Raw genomic sequence first — 19,011 nt, forward strand, 5'->3', positions numbered from 1 at the left:
GCCATTAGAAATGACTTACTTAAGGGAAGCAGAATTTTACAGGCAGTTTACAGGCTGGTCTTGTTCAGTAGTTTCCAAAAGCCAGGGGAGGGCGGAGGCGGCCAGCAGTCCCCACAAGTTGGGATGGATTGGAAGTGAGAAGTGAGTCCTGTGTGACGGACACTTTCTCCTGCACAGCCGCACGCCCCTCGGTGGGCTCTCGGCACGTTGCGGGCATTAGGGAGAAAGGCAGCGGGAGGCCCTCGCTATACTCTGATAGATCCAGCCCCCTCAGTCCTCCTGGAATAGCCTGGCCCTGGCTCCGAGGAGAGAAGAGGGGCTGTTGCTGGGCCCACAGAAGAAAAGGCAACCCCAGGCATAAAGAGGCTCTCAGCAGCCCCTGCCCGAACGCTCCTGGCAGGCAAGGGCCCCATAGCACCCTGGGGCCTCGAGGGTCACCGCAGACCCGGCCTGGGAAGAAACCCGTAGAGTCCCGCAGCCGCGGAGGGAGGGGGTTCTCGCTAAGGCGTCCCGCGGACAACGCCGAGAGGCACAGCTTAGCGGGTGCGCACCGGACAGGCTCGCAACGCAGGACGGTGCCCTCATGGGAGCCAGGCTGAGCAGGTCAAGAATGGTGGTGGGGAAGCGGGGTAGGCAGACCTCGGCGGGGGCTGCCTCGGCGCTCTGCTCCTACCCAAGGGGCCCGGTTCCCTTTCTACCCACAGTTCCCTTTCTATCCGCCTCCCTCCTCAGCCCAATGAAGCAGTCGGGGCTCAGCAGTGCTTAGCACGCTCGGACTATGGTTTTAATAGACGTACATGGACAAGTCGATATAGACAGATTTATTACAGTCAGTCCAACATACACAGGGACGCTGTAAACAGGGGCGCGGGCCGGAGAGCGGGTGTGCAAAGTGGGCGCAGGGCCCTGGGGCCGCGCCCCTTGCTCTGCCGGCTCGACTCTTGCACGGCGGGCGGTGAGGAGGGGGCTGTTCGCCCAGACAGAGGGCCACCTCCTAGCCCGGGAGCAGAGCAGAGGGCCTGGGCCTGCAGCTAAGCTCAAGGCTGGGGTGTTCTGAGATGGACCTCCCCCACCTCCCGCCAGGCCCGCACTGCCCGCTGTCGCTCCGTGGCCTTAATATAGGGCTCCGGGGCGCGGGGCCAGCGAGGCTCTACCAGGCGCGCCGGGGCCGTGTGCGGCTCCACTGAGTGCCCGATCCTGGGCTGGGGGCACCGTCCCCCCAAACCCAACGCCCGCCCCAACACGGATCCGACTCGAGCTAAGGCGCTCTCGGCCGGGCCTAGCTCGGAGAGGGCAACTTGGTTTGTACGGGGTCGGGAAATCCTAGGCAAGTCCAGGCCCCGCACATCCAGTCCGCAGGCCCGGCCACTCAGTCCGGATCCAGCGCGGCGGGGACGCGGGATACGAGGTCGTCCTCCCCCGGCCGCTGGGCCTCGGCGCTCGCCTACCGCGCCGCGTGCCCTCCGCGGAGTGGGCCTCCGGGGCCCGTGGGAACACACACACCACCCGCGCCATCCCGAGAGAAATTGCAACTCATCCATTTTTTCGCGGCACTTTTCTCCGACGTCTTTTTGCTTTTTTTTTTTTTTTTTTTTTTTTGTCTTTTTGGAGGGCAGAGTGGGGTCCGGAAAAGCAAACACAAAACCAACCCGGAGTGGGAAGTGGGAGGAGGGGGCTGCGCAGGTGTGAGGTCCGCGGCGCGGTGAGCTGGGGCTTGCGAGCCGGGGCCCCGCGTGCGTCCTCCGCGCCCGCGCCCGCGCCCTTCCCCGCTCCGGCCGCCGGCCCGCGTGGTGCGGCGGGGCGGTCAGCTGTTGTACTGGCACGCGTTGAGGCCCGAGGCCGGGCCCTGCAGGCCGCCGTAGCCAAACGACGAGTGCTGTTTGGACTTGAGCCGCAGGCTGGCTAGGCTCGAGTTGCACGTGTCCCGGTAGACGCTGTAGGGCGAGGCGGGAGTGCCGTACGGGCAAGCGCCCGGCGACATGGCCGAGTTGAGCGAGGAGCCGGTGAGGTTGTTGATGTTGTTGAGGCCCGAGTTGGGCATGCCAGGCACGGCGCCTGGGCCCATGCTGGACGGCATGGTCATGGAGGAGATGGAGCTGGGTGCTGAGAACATGGACTGCGACGACAGCGGGCTCATGGAGTTGAAGAAGGTGAAGCTCTTGGTGGAGAGCGGCGCTGGCGCCAGGCTCTTGGCGGCCCAGTTGTTGTAGGAGTAGCCGGCGGCGTACACGTCCTCGTAGGGCTGCACTAGGCCGCTGAACTGCGGCACGTAGCCACCCTTGCACAGGTCCAGCTGCTGGTTACGCTCGCGCTTACGCCACTTGGCTCGCCGGTTCTTGAACCAGACCTGGGGGAGGGGACGGGAGAAGGGTCAGGGCCGCTGCGGGCCGGGAGGGACCCCACCCCCTTCCCCACCGCCTGGAGCCTTCCGTCGGCCCGCTGCCCTCCGAACGTCGTTTCTCTCCTTCGACCGATATTTCCGCTCCTGCATTCCCTCCACAATGGTTCCTTTCCTGTCCCCAGAAAATACTAATTTCTTTTTCCGATCTTTATCCTCTCCCGAAATTATATCCGTTTTCTTCTCCGAATACGGATTCTCGTTTAACAGATATTCGTTTTCTTTCTTCCTCTCTCAACCAGTTCACCTCTGCCTTCTCCCCCAAACAGGTTCGCTCTATCTACTAAATATTTCAGTCTTTTTATTCTCCCTCAAATACAAAAGGTATTTTTCCTCCCTGAGACATAGGACTTTCCGACTCCCCCAATTCTTCGATCTATTTCATCGCTCAAATAGTTTGTTATCATCTTTATCGGCAATATTTGATGTTTTCTTTTTGGCTCCAAATGTTTATTTTCGTTCAGTCCACCCCACTGTCTGAACCTCTTTCTTCTCCCTCAGTCTGTTTTCTTGTTTATCCCCCATTTTTGATCCTTTTGAATCGTCCTCAAATATTAGGCTTTTGAATCCTTTCCAAATATCTGACCTGCACTGTTCCCCTTAAACAGTTGATTCTTTTTCTCAAATACCTGATCTTTTTGCTTCCTATTTAATTTCTTTCCTGCCGCCTAAATATATGCCAAATATGTTTCTCCACAAATATTTAAATTTTTTCTATTCTTACTAGATTCTTCTAATCTTCCTGCCCTTCCTTTTCTCCCCCCAAATTTGGTAAGAACCTCCTAGTCCTCCCCCATCCTTACCTATCTGCCTACCGCATGCCCTCTGCCCACTCGGATTTTCCTCCAGTTCTGAGTGGAGTTTCCTGAGCTAGTTTGCCAGATCCCTGCTTCTCAGCTTTCCCTAGTCCCCAGCACTGACACTACCTGATTCCACCCCCACCCACCCCTACCACCATAAACCTGGGCAGGATTAGTGAGTTCAGGATTACTGAGTGCTGTGTCTTCATTCCAAGTCCCACTGGGCTGGCCAGCCTGCCTAGGGAGGGGTGAGGGCTGGGGTTATGGTAAGGAGTCTGTGGGCCAGCTGGGATTTTGGTCGACTTGGGAGGTGCTCCCAATATCTGATTAAATATTTACGCCCCCAGGGAAGAAATGATTCTCTTGCTACCCTGGCAGGAAAGCCTTGCTTTTACTGGAAACCAAACGGGTGAGAAGAGGGAGAATGCAGGCTGGTCTTGGGTCTGAGATGGCATATCCTAAAAGGGACTGGGAAGGACATTTGGCTCCCGGAGCCACCCCCCACCTCACCTGACGGGAGACCTTCCGGAAAGGGCAGAAGGCAAAGGGTCCTACTGATGGCTGGGGAGGGTGGAGAATATCTTGAGCTTTTAGAGAATCTGCTTATGAGATGGGACCACTGCTCCAGGAAGTTTTGAGAGCCCCAAACCCAGGCACCTTTCAGGCTTCTCCGAGGCAGCCAGACAGGACCTGCCTTTCCCTTTCGTTTTCGGGATAAGGCCAACAGCTCCCGAGGTCCCCAGCGGCAGGGAATCCACTGCCCAGTCTCTGGCCCAGGGTATCCTGCTAACATCTGAGTGGGTCCTGGGCCCCATAGGGCATGGGGGAGTCCCCTGGGGGCACAGGTCTTTGGGCTGGGGTTGCCTTAGTCCGAGGATCAGGTAGGATGAGGGTCAAAGGGGTTGAAGGTCCGAGGCGCCTGGAGGCCTGGCAGACGCTAGTGGGCCAGGGCCTAAGGTGGGGATCTCCGGTGGAGGGAGGGAGCAGGTCTGAATGGTGGGAGAGTGAAGTTCTGCTTGTGGGTCTAAGCTTTGGAGGGCTGCAGCAGAGGCGGCCCGGGAGCCCTCTGCGCGGGTGCCCTTAGGCGCGCACCCCTTGCTCACCCGCACGCGCGGCTCGGTGAGGTTGGTCCACACGGCGATCTCCTCCCTCATGCTCATGTCGGGGTAGCGGTTCCTCTGGAACGTGGCCTCTAGCTCTTGCAACTGCTGGCTTGTGAAGTGCGTACGTTGCCGCCGCTGCTTCTTCTTCTTGGCTGGGTCGTCTGCGCCGCCGCAGCCCGTGCCTCCCGCACCACTGTCCTCGGGCCCCTTGGGTTCCCCGCCGCGCTCCTTCTCTGCAGTAGGCAGGACGGGGAGCGGGTCACCTGGGCTTACGCCCCGTTGCACCCCGTCCCGGCTCCACCGAACCGCTCGCCACCAGCGCTGGCGGTCTTCCCTCCCTCCCTCCCTCTAGGGTTCCTGGGAACTGTCCCCACTGGAAAGCGCCCGCCGGGTGCTGGTCGTCAGTAGGCACCTCTAGTCTGGTGTGCCGCGGAGAAGAGCCCAAGAATCGGAGCTGGAGCCGCGGGCCTGCGTTCCTGGCTGGGCAGGGCCTGCACCCTTAGCTCGGCTCAGATTCTGACCCTGCTGCTGATGTTCCCAGCAAATGTATGCTTTTTGTTTGTTTGTTTTGCGAACTCTTAGGGGGTCTAAATCTGAGGGGGTCTCTGCTTTTCTGAACTAGGATCAGATCTCTCCAGCCTAAAGTCCCTCCACTTTCTTCTCCTCAGGGGTGTATGGGAGCCCCACTGGGCAGGCACAACACAGCCGGGTTCTCGGCCTTGCTTCCAGGCCTCCAGTCCCAAAGCCTAGAAAACCCCACCAACTGCAGCCCAGACAGACAGACTCTGTCTAGGTGACCTCGGGCTTTAGTCTGTCTCTCTTTGAAGCTACACAAAACACACGCAGTCATAGAAACATTAATACATAAAGAAAAAGAGTTTAAAAACAAAACACAGAAGCCCAGAAAAGCTCACAGCTCTATGCCTAAAGACACTGAAAGGGCCACAAATTCTCAAAATCAGACAGGAAGAAACACAGAGCAAATGTAAATTAAGAAGCCAGAAAGCTCCGTACAAACACACCCCTAACTAAATACAGAGCTGTAAGTGTATAAACTCCAGGTTGACAGAAGCATTTATTTCTCTGGGATTTAAAAAAATAATGTACCGTTGTAGATAGATTTTTAACTCCTTCCCAATAAGGCCCTTGTAGAGATAATTTTTAAATCCCAGAGAAACACATTATAGTTAGATAATTTAAATTCCCCAAATAACACCACTGTAAATGGATTTTGAGAAAATTCCGGAGAAACGCGCCATTTTGGATTGACTTTTTAAAATCTCCGGAAGAATAATGTTGCATGTAGATATTTTAAATTCCAGACCTACACTTCGTACGTTAATTCTTTCAGAATCGAAAGATACAGTTAAAATTAATTCATCCTCATAGATTTGGTTCAAAAAAATCAATATACGATTATATATCTCTCTAGGTTTTAAAAATAAAACCAACCAAAGACCGCGCTTAAAACTTTTGAAAACAAAAGTAGAGTTCAGCGTTGATTATGTTTTAACCAAGCAAACAACCTCTCAGAAAAATCACTTAGGGATGCAAAAGAGAAACAGATACTAAGAAAGTGGAGAGAAACATTCAGCTGTGTATTAAGAAATGAACGCAGAAGAGGCGCCCACACCGGGGAGCTCGGAGCCCCTCCGGAACCCGGCCGGCTGCGCTGGGCAGCGGATTCGCTGCCCCACTGCCCGCGCCGGCCACCCGCGGGCCCAGTTCGCTGCTGGAAAAAAGCTCCAGCTCGGACAAAAAAAGGCAGCGCGGAGGGAGACGCGCAGGAGCCGGGGCGGGGGCCAGAGCCGGGCTGCTCCGGGCTTCGGCCGCGCACGTGGGCCGGATCCCTTGATCGGCGTTCCGGCTGGCCTTGCTGGGAGTCCGGCCGCGCCTGTTGGCCCGCTCGCCCTCACCGTCCTCTGTGTCTCCCTTCTACTTGATGACCCCTCTCCCCCCGTTTACCCTTCCCGCCCGCCCCTTCTCTTTGGTCTCTTTCATTCTGTCGCCTACTGTCACGGTGTTAACCTCCCTCTCTGTCTCTCTGAGTGCGTTCTCTCGCCCGTCACCCCTCTTCCTTTCTCGGTCTCCTCCTCTCCCTTCGTCCGAGCCGCTCCTTAGCGCCCAGTTGCGCAAATCAAATTCTTTCCCGTTCTATTTACTCCTGATCAAGAGGGGCTGTCAGTCCAACCCTCCAGCTGTAGGCTCGTGCATCTGCCAGTCTCTTGGCGCGTGGGGACCGCGTGGAAGTGCCTTCGCGTGTGCGTAAGTTTCCGCGTTCACCGTCAGGTCGAGAACGGGAAAAAGAAAGCTCCTGACGCTTCTGGGGCGGAGAGGGAGCTTGGTTGCGCGGCGCGGGCGTCAGGCCCTGCTCCCAGCTCCCCGTGCTCCGCGCCCGGGTAGGCTCTGTGCGCGCCGCGCGGGGAACGGCGCTTACCTGGCAGCTCCGTGTCAGACGACTCGCTGGCGGAGTTCTCGAGCGGCTCGCGGGGGTCGGCGGGCCGGGCCAGGTGGAAGGCGGGCCCCATGTCATGGGGTGGCGGCGGCGGCGGCCGGAGCCCCTCCGGCAGCCGCTCCAGGCTCATGCCCCCCTTGAAGGCGTCCATGGAGGTGGGGACCGCGGCGGGCGCTCCAGGGGCCGGGGCTGGGCGCGCCCCGCCGCCCTGGCTGCGACCTGCGGGGACAAGAGCGCAGCGCCTAAGCGGCTGCCCTCCAGGGCTGCCGGCGCCTGCAGCGACGCCGTGCCCGCCCCATGGACCGCCCGGGGCTGCGGCGCCGGGCGGGCAGAGGCGGCGGCAGCTTCTCGCGACTGGGCGCCTGGCTCAGCGCTCCGCGCTGCGCTCCTGCCGCTCGGGCCTCAGCAGCCCGGCCGGCCCCGGCTCCGGCTCCGGCTCCGGCTCGCGATCCGGGGCCGGTTTCTAAGGCTCCGGACGGCGCCGGCAGAGTCTGTCTTAAAGCGACAGCGCGCACAGCCAGGTTCCAGCAGTCCCTGCGCCAGGGGTGCTGGGTGGGGTGGGCCTGGGTGGGAGGGGGCTGGGGAGGGAGCGAGCGAGCGAGGGAGCGCGGGCGGAATCCAGCCCCAAGCCGCCCGCGCCGCCGCGCCCTCACTGCCGCCCTCCCTCCCTCCCTGCCTCGCCCGCGCCCTCCCCCTCCGCAGCCACCTTCCCGCCGCCTCCCCGCCCCCCGCGGCCTCGCCGCGCCTCTCCCTCCTTCCCCGGTGACACACCGAGTTCTCCCTCGGCCTCACAAAAGAAACGCATCTGGCCTGCGAGTCCCGGGCGGCTCGTGCACACCTCAGGCCTCAAATGACTTGTTTCGCCTAGAATCAACTCCCGTCTCGGCCGCCTCGAAGTCCCCAGCCCTGGCGAGAACAGCCCAGGATGAGTGAATGTTTGCCGAACAGGATCGCACCGAGCGGGCGCCTTCGAGCCAGCGCCGGGGCGGGGGCAGAGCCCGGGGCCCGTTCCGGCAGCTCCCAGCGGTGTCCTCGTCGAGGGGCCGCCTGCCCCTCCTTCTCCAGCCTCTTCTCCCGGGAACTCAGCCCGGCTGAGTGACAGCAGCCTGCGCTCTAATGGGCCCCCGGATGCTGCCTCCTAATTAGCTTGGACCTTCTCCCCTACGGCTGCTTCTCAGGCCTCCCTCTCTGCACCGCAGTCAATTTTCCGGGATTGGGATAGAAATGATGGCTTCTAATCAGACGAAACGTTTCTGCTGGCTCTAGGCGTTTGGAGAATGCAGAAGGAAGACCCCAAGGATCCCAGCCAGACCCCACAGCCTCTTGTACCTCTCCCCTTGTTTTACACCTTAGGCCTTGGCCAAATGGGCCAGGCCTGGCCTTGGCAGGCATGGGGTTGGCCTTGGCAGCCTTTGCCCTCCTTCAGGGTAGCTTTGTCCCAGCCTGGGGCCTGCGTCCTGGCTTCCCAGGGCTTCAGGCATAGGCCTGGTAAGCCAGGTGACTGCTGTCTCCCAACCCTGGGCCAGCAGCCCAGGAAGCCCTCAGTCTTCCAGCTTCTCTCCCACACAGTGGTAGCTGAGCTGCAGCTCCAATGGGCCTTCACTGGGCACAGGCAAAGACATTACTCTCCCACTCCTAAGAGTGATTCCCTCCTCGAGTCCTTGCACGTAGGTGAAGTTTGTCGAAGGATTTTGCTCAACAATTGTTAGCTGGCCCCGAGACCTCAGCGTCTTGAGCAAACAGGCCACAGCTGGGGCGGCAAGGCGCCGCCCTGACCTGCTCCTCTGGCCATAGGCGGACCCCAGACTGCCCTCTGCCCCTCACCTGTGATCAGCTCCACCAGACACAGCAACCCAAGGGAGCTGCGCCAGGATTGTCTGCCTGGGAAAGAAGCAGGGAGGTGTCCAGTGTCCTCACCCCAAAACCCAGTGCCTCCTCAACTCCTGGGTGGGTGGCACTGACTGTGCAGGTATCAGCGTCTGGGGCACTCTGCAGGTTCTGCCTTTGAGTCCTCGTCTTACCCCTTCCCATCACAGGGAGACACCCAGGGTCAGCTGAGCTCCTTGTGGGGGCTGCTGGGGCCAGGGTCGGGCATGCAGGGTGGAACCAGGCCTGCCTTCCATTCCCTCCACGTTAGTCCAAAGCACCCCCACCCCTACCCCCATCCCCATCCCCATCCCCATCCCCATCCCCATCCCCATCCCCCGCTCTGGGCCGTGGAGAGACAGCACAGCTCCTTAGGGCCTGGTCCTTTCTCACTGTGGGTCTGTGACCACAGGATGCAGGGTCTGAGGCCAGAGGGAGGACACTTCTCAGGGGTTTGGATTGGGGAGGCTCAGTGACTCCTGCCTTCTTCCAAGCTGAGATCTCCCTCCATGAAATGAGTCTTGGCTACGGGGAGGGGAACATGGGGAAGCACAGTTGCCCAGCATTTGCCCTCAGCCCCACCGTTGCCATGTTTCTTGGCCACCTTTACCACGAGTCTCCTGCAGTAGAAGATCCCTCCTTTCAAGGAGATATTCAGGTGTTGCAGCGTGCTAGGGAGTGTCCCTTCACAGACCATTCTTTTTTTAGCTGTCTTACCAAAAAGAACAGCCTGAATGCAGACAGCATGGGGGCACGCACACACACACACATCCTGTACATCCATGCGGAGATGCTGTACACACACATGTATTCACTGCACTATGGAAGTGCTGAGTTTAGGCATATATGTGCTACTTGGCATGAACGCGGGCTGGCAGGGGATAGGAGGTGTGTTCTAACCCTGCCACATGTCAGGCCAAGGTGGGAAGCACAGTGCGTCTCTGGGTAGAGACTTAGAAATGAATGGTCTGTCTGTGGGCCTCTAGAGGAGGTTAAGACTCACAGCCTTCTCACTTGCCTTCTCACTTCCCAGAGGGACCAAAGTGACTCTTTGGGCCATCCCCCAATGGGGACTATTCTGTGAGCAGCACTCACTGCTTAGTCTGAGGGGCGTGTTTCCTCACTGTTAGTGCATTTAATGCAGTTATTGAGCACCTGCTGTGTGCCCCTCTGGGCCCAAACCTCTGGCAGGGCTCCAGGCAGGCACAATAGTCCCTTTATTTGGTGATCTTGATGCCTGCTGTGTAGAAGGAAAAGCCCTCAGACCATTTCAGGTGAAGCCCCATATCCTCAGGGGACCTGAGACCCAAAGAGGAGCTGGGGCTAGTGGGGCCTGCTGGCAGAGTCTGTTCTGCTGGGCCTGGGCAGCACTGAGTGATCAAGGAGTGAGGAGGCAATTGATTGTGAGGAGGCTGTGGCCTGATCTTGGGCGTTGGCTGGGGAAGGGACCTGGACATGCTCTCAATTCTTCCCCAGCTACACTCACTGGCCATTGTCCCAGTCAAGATAGGGGCTTCTTGCACGCTCACAGACACGTCACACATACAGGACAGAAAACAGCACTCTTTCAGGAGTAAGCAGAGGCTTTGTGTTCCCCCAGCTGTGCTATGTGACCTGTGTTTCCCTCAAGGTTAAGGCTTGATCTGCACTGTGCCTCAGTTCCCATGTCCAACACCGGACTCTGCCTGCTGCTTCAGCATCCAGCTCACTTGCTGATGGGACACGAAGAGAGGAGGGAAGGGGGCTTAGTGGAGCTGGAACCATGTGCCCTGTTCCCCACCCCTCCGTGACCACACAAAGCCAGCAATGATTCTCTGATTTTCAAGAATTTTGGAGTTTAGGGTCTTGGCTGGGCTGAGCAGAAGAGCTTGGGCTGTTGTGGGGTTGAAGTAGTCACCATGAGGACCCTTCCTGAAGCCTGGCTCACTAAAAACACCCTGTGCCCAAGAATGGTTTAGTAATGTAATTTGGGAAGGGTGGTTGGAAGGCTCTCAGTGGGGGGGCATCCTTCTACCCACCCACGGGGGCACCGTGCCCTAATCCTTGCTCCCAGAATCAAGGTATTTTAGGAAAAAGGAAGGAATGTGCCATGGCCTGCCACCAGGGCTATCCATGACTCTCTGGGACATTCCAGCCCTAAGCCTCTTAGTCCGTGGAGAAGTTCAAACTTGAAAACCCTGTTTTGGGAGTGCAGGTTTGGACCACCTACCTCTTTCTGCCTGATCTAACACCCCCTCCCCAATAAAAGCTCCCGTTTCTTTGAATACAGCAATTACTGGGTAAGTGGGGAGGAGGGTGCTCAGGTAGGGGCTGGAAAGACCTCACTGGCTCCTTTAGGCTTCCTGGGACCCCAGTCTGAGGCTTCCTGCCAAATGGGGATCCCCAGCCTGTCCCGGGGAGAGCCAGGATGTATTTGAGCAGGACTGCCGCCAGTGAGGCACAGATGGGAGTATGGAACTCAGGACTCTGTGCCGTGGGCCGCTCAGTCAGCGGCTGGTAGGACCCATGGCTCTACCCGGCCCATCTCTCACCTAAGTCCATGGACGCTGTCTGGTTCCTGAGAATGGCTGAGCTGTGGGGAAGAAGACTAGGAAGGAGGTAGCAGCTGGTCGCACAACTGGGGAGCAGAGGGGCAACTTATGGATGCACCATAGCCTCCTCCTCCCAGCGGCTGCTTTCATGGGAGAAGAGCACCCTGAGCCTGTCTGGAGGCCTCTGCATCCTAGAGTCCAGACAGCCTGGTCTCCAAGCCCCAGCCCACCTCTTTTCCTTTCCCTGGAAGAGATGCGGGAGGCCGAAAGCAGCCCCGGGAAAGGGCACGGGGACAGCAAGTCTCCTGTGCTGCCCCTGCTGCCTGTAGCTTTTGCCCTGACTACCGTAGACCTGAACCCTAGACCTGAATCCTCCCCCAGTGGACAGCAACCTGGGATTTCCTCCCTCTGGCCCTGGTGGCTTTCAGAGGTCACAGGGATGTCAAGAGAATTTGTGTTTTTCAGAATTTAGTTTTTCAGAAAAGTGGACTAAATATTTGTAGATTCGGGGAATTCCTAAATCGGAAAAGCTTGGGACCCGGATTCCAGCCTGGGGTTCCCATTACTGCGATCCCGGCTTTGGGGCCCTGCCTTTGCCGCGGGAGAATAGGCTCCAATTTACGAAGCTGGTCAATTTCAGAAATCCGAGACCCGGTTCTTGAGAAGCGACTGCGTGCTCCGGGACCCTGCGTCAACAACCAAACCTGGGAGAAGCCGCGGGAATGTCTTTATTGGACGTTACGAAGGGAATTGGGGTTTCTCTCCTGGGAAGAAAAAGCCCGACCTGTGCCGGCGAGAGCAGGCTGCCTTGGGCTGGGGGCACCTCCGAGCGCTGCGGCGGGACGTCGGGGTCCGGGGCGAAGAGAGCCAGGGCGCGGACCGACGTCTGCTGCTTTTCTGCGGCATTGCTGCCCGAACGAACGAACGAACGAACGAACGAAGCGGTTTCGTTTAGGAAAAATACCCTCTTGACGCGAAGCCACGGCTGAAGTCCCGGGCCACGCAGAGGGGCCAGCAATTCCATGGGTGGTGGGGCCCTCCATCCCTGGACGCAGCGGGGAGCAGCGGGCGGCCCTCTCTCCTGCCCACTTCTCCTGGGGGTGGGGGAGCCCTGTGTCACCCGACGCTGCGAGGGGCTGCCACGGGCTTCTCAGGTTGTGCCCTTCGCGGGGCCGTGGCCCGTGCCCCCGAGGCTGCTACCCTCTTGAGGTGCCCGGAGCCAAAGCAGAGGGTTGATCCCGCCGGTTGGGTGAGGTAGCACCCGGTGACGGCGGCTATGACTGTGCCCTGGGCGCAGGAACGAGCTCCTCGCGCTGCCTCGAAGGCTCCTGACCTTCCGCGCCTTGCGCTGTCCCGCGCCGCCGGGTGGACCCACACACGCCAGGAGCAAACTGCGCAGGACTCGGCCGCCACCTCCCTGCGCCCCTCCACCGCGGAGACCCTGCGCCCCTAGCCCAGCGTCTCTTACCCCACCTGGGCAGCGCTGCGTCTGCGGCTCGTGGGCTCCGGGCTCGCCCGCCGCGGACTCTGGCTCAGGTTTCGGCTCCGGCTGGGGCCCCGGATCCAGCTCTGGCTCTGGCACTGCACGGTTCTTCGGCCCCTGCTGGTTCGCTACATCCCAGCGCGCGAGGCCGGGGCTTCCTCGGCTCGGCCCGCTCCTCCCGCCGCCGCCGCCCGTCGCCCGCGGGGAAGGCGGGGACACTGGCCGGGAGGCGGGAAGGGTGGGGGGAGGGGAAGCTAGGTGTTCGCCGGGACCTGCGGGGAGAGGGGCGGCGCGCAGTCCCGCCGGCTAGGGGTCCTGGCCTCCCTCGGGGCGTAGGCTGGGGTCCGCGCGGCTGGCGGCCGGGCCTCGAGGCCGGGGAGCGCGCCCTGGGACCTCCGTGGAGGGGCCCTGCCGCATGCGGACGAAGCCAGAGCGGGTCCCAGCCTGGCCCTGGGGCACTTTCTCTCCCTGGGCCCAGTTTCCCACCTGACTCGTGAGGGGCTGGCCCTACTTCCGTTTAGACGGGGGCTGGTGGTCGAGTTTGGGGTTTTGAGATTGGACCTTTCTTCTTTCTGCTCAGCCTGCGGGAGGGAGCTGGTCTTGCGTGTTGGCAGGGAGAGTCCGCTGCCCAGAGCGTGGCAGCCAGGGAGGTTTGAGGACAGACCCCAGGTTTTCTGTGTTTGGGGGTAGGGGGTGTTAGGGTGGGGCAACCGCCCGACCTGCCCTGGTTGGGGGAATTGCCTTCTTCCCTCTCCTCAGGGGCTGGGCTGGTGAGGAAAGGGCACACCAACCCCTCAGGACAGACACTTCTGGGGCCCCTTGTCCAACCCCTATGCCTGCACATCCCCCAGCGACCATCCTGCTGCGGGCCTGCGAACGGTGACGCCTCCACCCCTGTGGCCCCGCAGGCCGTTCCTGGCTGGCTGCCGCTGGGAGACGGGCTGGACGCAAGGGAACTGGGAGCCTGTCCTTTGCCCACCCTCAGGCCACAGGGCTCCCCAGCGTTGCCTCGTGGCCAGATAACCCTGTGCGCGAAGCCTCATGGTGGAAACCAGTTGGCCGAACCTACTCCTGGTACCCCGAAGTGCCCAGCCTGAGCCTGCTTGCTGTTGGGATTATGGGATGGGACCACAGGGCAGGTCGGGCTGTGGCCTGCCTTTCTCAGGGACTGGAGCGGCTAAGCCTGCCCGCCGACGGCCACGGGCTCCAGAGCGACCGTTTCCGGCGCAAGGTGCCGGGAGATGGCAGCGCGGCAGCCGGGCCTGAATCTTTCATGAGATGCAGTCAGCAGCGGCGCCTCCCTGCCTGGTTCTCGCCGACAGCTGCTGCGGGAGAGGCCGCGACCCGCGCCACCTCGGCGTCCTGCTAGTCCGTGCCTCCAGGGCCGCTTGGCCTGGGAACGCAGAGACCCACGACCCCCTCCCCAACCTCCGAAGCGGGAAGCCGGCCCGACCCAAGCTCACAGAGGCCTCGGTGTTCAGGCCCTGCCAGGTGGCCTCTGCACCCTGTCGTGCTGTTCCAGGGACTCCATACCCTCCTCTCAACCCTCGACAGCAGGAACCCCTCTCCAGTGGTGTGTGCAGGGCTCTGTGCACCCAGGGTCGCAAGTTAAGATAACGAGTCCCCGATGCCGGCACTAGCGGACCTGCGCCTGGAGAAAGTGCAGTCTACCAACTTGGACCCTGTGCTGTGGGGAGTTTAGCCCCCTACGTCTACCCCCTCCCATTGACTGCTTTATGTGTAAAATGGCTTGTTGGCGGGTCCAGCCCTAGAGCTGCTAAGCTGAGAAGTTTCTAATCTTGTCTCTGGAATCTTCCTTCCACTCCAAGCACCAGGGGCATCTTTGGGCATAAATGCAGCCGCTGGACCTTACTATGGAGGGCTGCACAGGCACTCCTGGGGTGGCTTTTACTCTGGCGTCTGTAGCAGGAAATCACACCTTCCCCCCTCCCTGCACGCTAGCAATTTTCCAAATTTTGTTCCCATCTCTTGTGAGATTTTCTGCATGCTCTTGTTCCCAGGCAGGGCCTGTGGTGCCAAAAAATGCTGCCTCTGGCACCTGATGGCCTGAGCCAGAATCTTGTCAGTGGCTTTTACTAGTTGTGTGGCTTTGGCAAATAACATAACCTCTCCTAGCCTCAGCTTCCCCATCTGTGAAATGTGAGAATAAGTATTTCTGCTTCTTGGGAAACGGATGGGATAGTGAAGGTGAGGGGTTTGGTCCTGAGTCCTGTGGACAGAGGGGCTGAATGCTAATGGTGATAGCTGCCAGGCTGCTCTTTAAGAGAGTTTGCTCTTGTTTTTGTTTCTTCTTTCCCCACGGTGGTCATGTTGGTTGAGTCTAGGAGGAACAGATCCCTTTTCTGATTTAGTTTATCTGCCCTCATCCCCTGCTTAGGTGCTAGGAAGTTTGGTCCAGGAAAGCTGGGCAGGCTGGTGCGTGGGGCACAACCAGGGCCTGGAAGTCAGGAAGTTCTTAGTGAAACTTGGGGGGTACAAAACACATTTTTTATAATCTTATTTTCTCTCTAAAAATATATGTATATATTTTTTGCAATTTCCCTTTAGTTTTGACATCTTGGGGAGCATATATTCCCACTGGCACAGTGGAATCAGGAATCAGAGAGAGAGGAGGTTTGGGGCAGGATTCACCAGGAACAGAAGTAGCAGTCCCTGTTCCTGAGTACCACTTTAGCTTTCAGCTTCCAGGTGCCCCATCAAAAAAGATCAGCAGAATTGGCTGAATTTTCTTTGTCTTTCAGTCCAAACTGCTGTGCTTCCTCTAATACAAATTTTTCTCCCTAGTGCAAAACGCTTTGATGAATTTGTCACATGGGTTCATGCTGAACATAATGGGCAAATGTCTGCAGCCACTATTATATAGAAGGCCATAACAATCCTTCAGGCAGTGTTTTTTTTTTTTCTTCTTCAAATCTTAACACCAAGTAAAAGTAGGGGGAGTGTTCTTTTCCTTCATAGCTCTTATTGCAACAGTATTGAAATTAAATATTTGTGTAATGATAGATTAAAACCTGTTGCCCCTACCAGTTGTAAGCTTCTTGAGAACAGGGGTGAGCCTCTCTTGGCAACAACTATAGGACCCTCCCCAGGGTGGGCAAGGGATTTGGTTATGCTGATTGGCTGGGTCCAGCTTACATGCCCACTCCTGCGCCAATCACTTTGTGGGGGAAGAGTGGCTCAGGCCTTTGGTTGGCCAGGGTCAGAGGCTCCACCCCAGAATCACCATGCTCCTCCAAGAATCCTGGCATCTATCTGGAACAACTTCTCTGAGCTGGTGGAAGGAAAGGGTTGGTTTTACCAAAGAAGCCCCTGCCCTGTGAAGTTTCTCAGGGGCCTGTTGATGGTGTGGGTAGCAAGTCCACTCCAACGTGATGGGGAGGGATTGGCTCTGTTGGAAGAGTCTGAAGTCTGTTAGAATTGTTCCTGCACTCATCTGTGGGGAGAGGTGAAGCACTGCCAGAAAGTCAGAGGGGAAGCTCAGAGTCTTGACTACCTGTAGGAATGGATCCGCAGAGCAAGGGAGGGAATGTATTTGTACTCCCCTTTTCACCTGTGAGAGGGAGGAAGTTTGAGGCTTTAAAAGTAGAGAGGACCCCCTAGGATCAAGTAAGATGTTAATGTATTTGAGCATTATTCTATTGCACTGTGCAATTATTGGTAGTCAAAGCAAAATGAGAAGCTATTTGGGCATTTGGGCATCTCAAGTATTTTTTTAATTGCAGTCCTGTCAGCATCTGCATGGAATACTGGACAGAACCGTGGCCTGAGACCCTTCTAGAATGGCCTCTCAGGTTGGAAAAAATGTAGAGAGCACCTATTTTGTGCCTGTGATTGCAGAGATACAGAGATAGATGGCTCTTGTTCATTTGGGTTGAGTCAAGGAGGCAGACACAGAAATCCATTACACAGTTGGAGCACAGTGCTGGAGAGGAAATCTGCAGCCTGCTGTTGAAGGGTCTTGAGTGACACATGGAGGAGTTGGCTGTAACCGTTTTTCTACCACCTGGGGACCCCTCCCTAGGAAAATATACTGTGCAAAGCCTCTGAGGTGAGATAAACTGTGGTATGCTTGATAATAAAGGAAGAACGTGTGGCTTCATAATAGCACTGGAACAGATGAGAAGGCAGGGCATAGGGGAAGAGGAAGTTGGAGAATCAAGTGGGAACCAGATCCCACAGGGCTCCATAGTCCTTGATAGGAGGGTGGGATGTTATCCTGAAGGCAAAAAGGAGCAGATGAAGGGTTTGAACAGTGAGAGACCTGGCCAGATGTGTATCTTAAAAGCCCACTCTGCCTGGAGAGAGAAGGATGGATTTGAGGTGAGTTGGAAGCAGATCATTGCAGCATCATTTGCTGAGCTGCCCAGCTGCTCCATCTATCCCTTTGTTTCTCCATCAGTCCATCAGCCTTTGTCCACTCATCTGCCATGAATGCAGAAGGCCACAGCTTGGCACGGGAAATATGAAGGTGAGACATTATGGCCCCTGCCTTTCTGGAGCTGCCCCCTCGAAGGCCTCAGTTTACCCATCTGTAGTCCTAGTGAGTCTCTCTCATGATCACAAGCTCTGCAGCCAGTGCCTCAGTCTCCCTCCAGATATCTGACTGCTGCACAGGACACAGGGTGCTCAGGGCCCGAAGGGGCACAGCCACTATCACAGATAGACAATTTGGGGAGCCAGTACAGTGAACAACCCTGTTGGAAGCTTTTAAAGTAATTGCCCTTGCCTGTGCTGGCTGACTGGCTGATGGCAGCCTATTAGCCCTGAGTTGGAAATTCTGAATTGTTTCATGACAATTGAACACATGATTGGAGGCTGGGAAGGAGTTGCCCATGAAATATTTATGTTTCCTCAGTGTTGTGGGCTGCTACCCTTTAGCCTGGGAACCCTGGATGTACGGGGCCAGTGGCTTCAAAGTGACTGCCATTGTTCCTGGGGGTCCTTGGGCCACCTCCATGTGAGGAGATGGGAGTGCATTTTGTGCAGTTGTAAGGGTGGTTGGGGGCCAGCACTGCTATAGCCTCACTCCATGCTGTGCATCCTGGCACTCCAGTCTCACTCCAGTACCAGAGAGGGAACAGAACCTGGGGACTTGAGATGCTCTATGTTTATGCCTGGCCCCAATTCTCCCTGTACTCAAGGCCTCAAGGCTCCTGGGAGTCAGCCTGCGTGCGAGTGTCAGTTCTGCCCCCTTAGTATTGTGAGCCTTGTTTTCTTAGCCGTTCAATGAGGGATGCAGAGTTCTTGCCTCGCAGGGTTGTGAGGGACAGAGATGCCTATATGTGGAGGGCCTGGCCCTCAGCCACAGCTCGTGGGACCATCCCGAGCAGCCCTTGGTAGATCCTAGGGTCAGGCTGGGGCTGGCTATGGGAGCCCCTACTGGATCCCCAGGGCTTTGTGGTCTCTTTTCCTCTGCAGATTATTTGAAGTACTCTGTATTTTTCCCTTCTCTGCAAATCCTAAATAAATAGGAGGGTGTGTGCCAGCCTGGCAGGCATTTCTGGTGGGTGAGGTGCACTGGAGTCTTGGTAAGGGATCCCATATGCCCAGCCCAGGCCTCTGCTCATGAGATTGAGGCTCTGCCATGGCAGAGGAAACTGGTGGGTGGTTCCTGCCTGGCTGCCTGACCTTGGAAGCTGCTCAGGGGCAGCAGGAGAAGGACCCCTGCTGTCTGAGCCTTTGGCTTGCCAGCCTACCAGCCAGCCCAGTGAGGGGCCCACTTTTCTTACCCTGGAAGGTGGTATTTATTCATCTTGCAGATGAGAAAATGGAGGCCATACTTCAGTCGTTCATTCAACAGGCAATTATTAAGTACCCACACTATGTGCTGGCATTGGGTGGGGTGCTGGGGACTCAGGAGTGATGGACAATGCTGGTGCAATCCCTCACAGGGGATCAGATCCAAAGATGAATGCATCTTTAGAAGTGGTGCAGTTTTGGAGCCATGGGAGCACAGAACAAGGAGAGCAAAACTAACCTGGTGGTCATGGCAGACTTCCTGGAGGAAGTGACCTACTGGCTGAGCACTGAAGGTAGCAGGGGTTTACCCTGAAGCTGGGATGGGGGCAGGGCCATGACAAAGCTAGTGAAGGGCAGGTGCATCTGGATGTTCTTATCCACCTGGGGCTAGGTGCACAACACCCTGTGTGCCCTCCTGCCCCTGCTGCCATGAGGAGCCTAAAGAGGCACCAAGAAGGGTTTCCATGGCTCCAAGGTGCTGGATTCCTTGCTGATTGTCCTCTCTGGGCTTTATTTTCTCACCTAAAAAACAAGAAGTGAGGTTAGTTAAGGCAACAGGGCACATTTTTCAGATGAAACTTTACTAAGACTCCTAAATAGAGGAATGAAATGATG

General features: G+C 57.6%; 1 protein-coding gene and 2 long non-coding RNA genes across 6 annotated transcripts in view, besides 4 other annotated features; 1 reads left to right on the forward strand and 2 right to left on the reverse strand.

Annotated features, from left to right (window-relative positions):
* Positions 72 to 757: an enhancer, noted in NCBI's record as "H3K27ac-H3K4me1 hESC enhancer chr5:134362736-134363421 (GRCh37/hg19 assembly coordinates)". NCBI's record gives its function as "activates a minimal SCP1, AML or CMV promoter by ChIP-STARR-seq in primed H9 embryonic stem cells {active_cell/tissue: H9 hESC(primed)}" and the evidence as "EXISTENCE:reporter gene assay evidence [ECO:0000049][PMID:30033119]".
* Positions 760 to 7,815, reverse strand: PITX1 (paired like homeodomain 1). Of its 3 annotated transcripts, XM_047417318.1 has the most exons (4): positions 7,528 to 7,815; positions 6,739 to 6,975; positions 4,302 to 4,534; positions 760 to 2,347 (listed from the first exon to the last, which is right to left on the reverse strand). In XM_047417318.1, the coding sequence occupies exons 1-4, from the start codon at positions 7,559 to 7,561 to the stop codon at positions 1,805 to 1,807; spliced, it is 1,047 nt and encodes a 348-aa protein (XP_047273274.1). In that variant the 5' UTR covers positions 7,562 to 7,815; the 3' UTR covers positions 760 to 1,804. The 3 variants fall into 3 exon arrangements, with proteins under 3 accessions (XP_047273274.1, NP_002644.4, XP_047273275.1); NM_002653.5 differs by lacking the exon at positions 7,528 to 7,815 and having other exon boundaries at positions 6,739 to 7,254; XM_047417319.1 differs by lacking the exons at positions 6,739 to 6,975; positions 7,528 to 7,815 and adding an exon at positions 6,464 to 6,566.
* Positions 2,129 to 2,813: an enhancer, noted in NCBI's record as "H3K4me1 hESC enhancer chr5:134364793-134365477 (GRCh37/hg19 assembly coordinates)". NCBI's record gives its function as "activates a minimal SCP1, AML or CMV promoter by ChIP-STARR-seq in naive H9 embryonic stem cells {active_cell/tissue: H9 hESC(naive)}" and the evidence as "EXISTENCE:reporter gene assay evidence [ECO:0000049][PMID:30033119]".
* Positions 4,760 to 4,967: a silencer, noted in NCBI's record as "fragment chr5:134367424-134367631 (GRCh37/hg19 assembly coordinates)". NCBI's record gives its function as "represses an EF-1alpha promoter that drives an FKBP-Casp9 reporter gene in an ReSE screen in K562 erythroleukemia cells {active_cell/tissue: K562}" and the evidence as "EXISTENCE:reporter gene assay evidence [ECO:0000049][PMID:32094911]".
* Positions 6,138 to 6,770: an enhancer, noted in NCBI's record as "H3K27ac-H3K4me1 hESC enhancer chr5:134368802-134369434 (GRCh37/hg19 assembly coordinates)". NCBI's record gives its function as "activates a minimal SCP1, AML or CMV promoter by ChIP-STARR-seq in naive H9 embryonic stem cells {active_cell/tissue: H9 hESC(naive)}" and the evidence as "EXISTENCE:reporter gene assay evidence [ECO:0000049][PMID:30033119]".
* PITX1-AS1 (PITX1 antisense RNA 1) overlaps positions 6,300 to 19,011 on the forward strand; it is a 311,407-nt gene continuing 298,695 nt past the window's right edge. Inside the window, exon 1 of the long non-coding RNA NR_161235.1 lies at positions 6,300 to 6,566. This is a non-coding gene — a long non-coding RNA (PITX1 antisense RNA 1). The remainder of the gene's footprint in view (positions 6,567 to 19,011) is intronic.
* On the reverse strand, positions 11,857 to 13,073 carry EPIST (esophagus epithelial intergenic associated transcript). 2 transcript variants are annotated; one of them, NR_105050.1, is made up of 2 exons: positions 12,627 to 13,073; positions 11,857 to 12,247 (listed from the first exon to the last, which is right to left on the reverse strand). It is a non-coding gene; the product is annotated as an esophagus epithelial intergenic associated transcript (long non-coding RNA). The 2 variants fall into 2 exon arrangements; NR_105049.1 differs by having other exon boundaries at positions 12,622 to 13,073.

The sequence above is a fragment of the Homo sapiens genome, chromosome 5, assembly GCF_000001405.40.
Source record: "Homo sapiens chromosome 5, GRCh38.p14 Primary Assembly".
NCBI classification, from domain to species: domain Eukaryota; kingdom Metazoa; phylum Chordata; class Mammalia; order Primates; family Hominidae; genus Homo; species Homo sapiens.

Coding starts and splice junctions, on each gene's coding strand:
- PITX1 (XM_047417318.1), bottom strand. CDS start 7,561: ATGCGTTTCTTTTGTGAGGCCGAGGGAGAACTCG. Junction 6,976..7,527: donor TGAGGCCGAGGGAGAACTCG/GTGTGTCACCGG, acceptor TTGTCCCCGCAG/GTCGCAGCCAGGGCGGCGGG. Junction 2,348..4,301: donor TCACCGAGCCGCGCGTGCGG/GTGAGCAAGGGG, acceptor CCCCTCCCCCAG/GTCTGGTTCAAGAACCGGCG.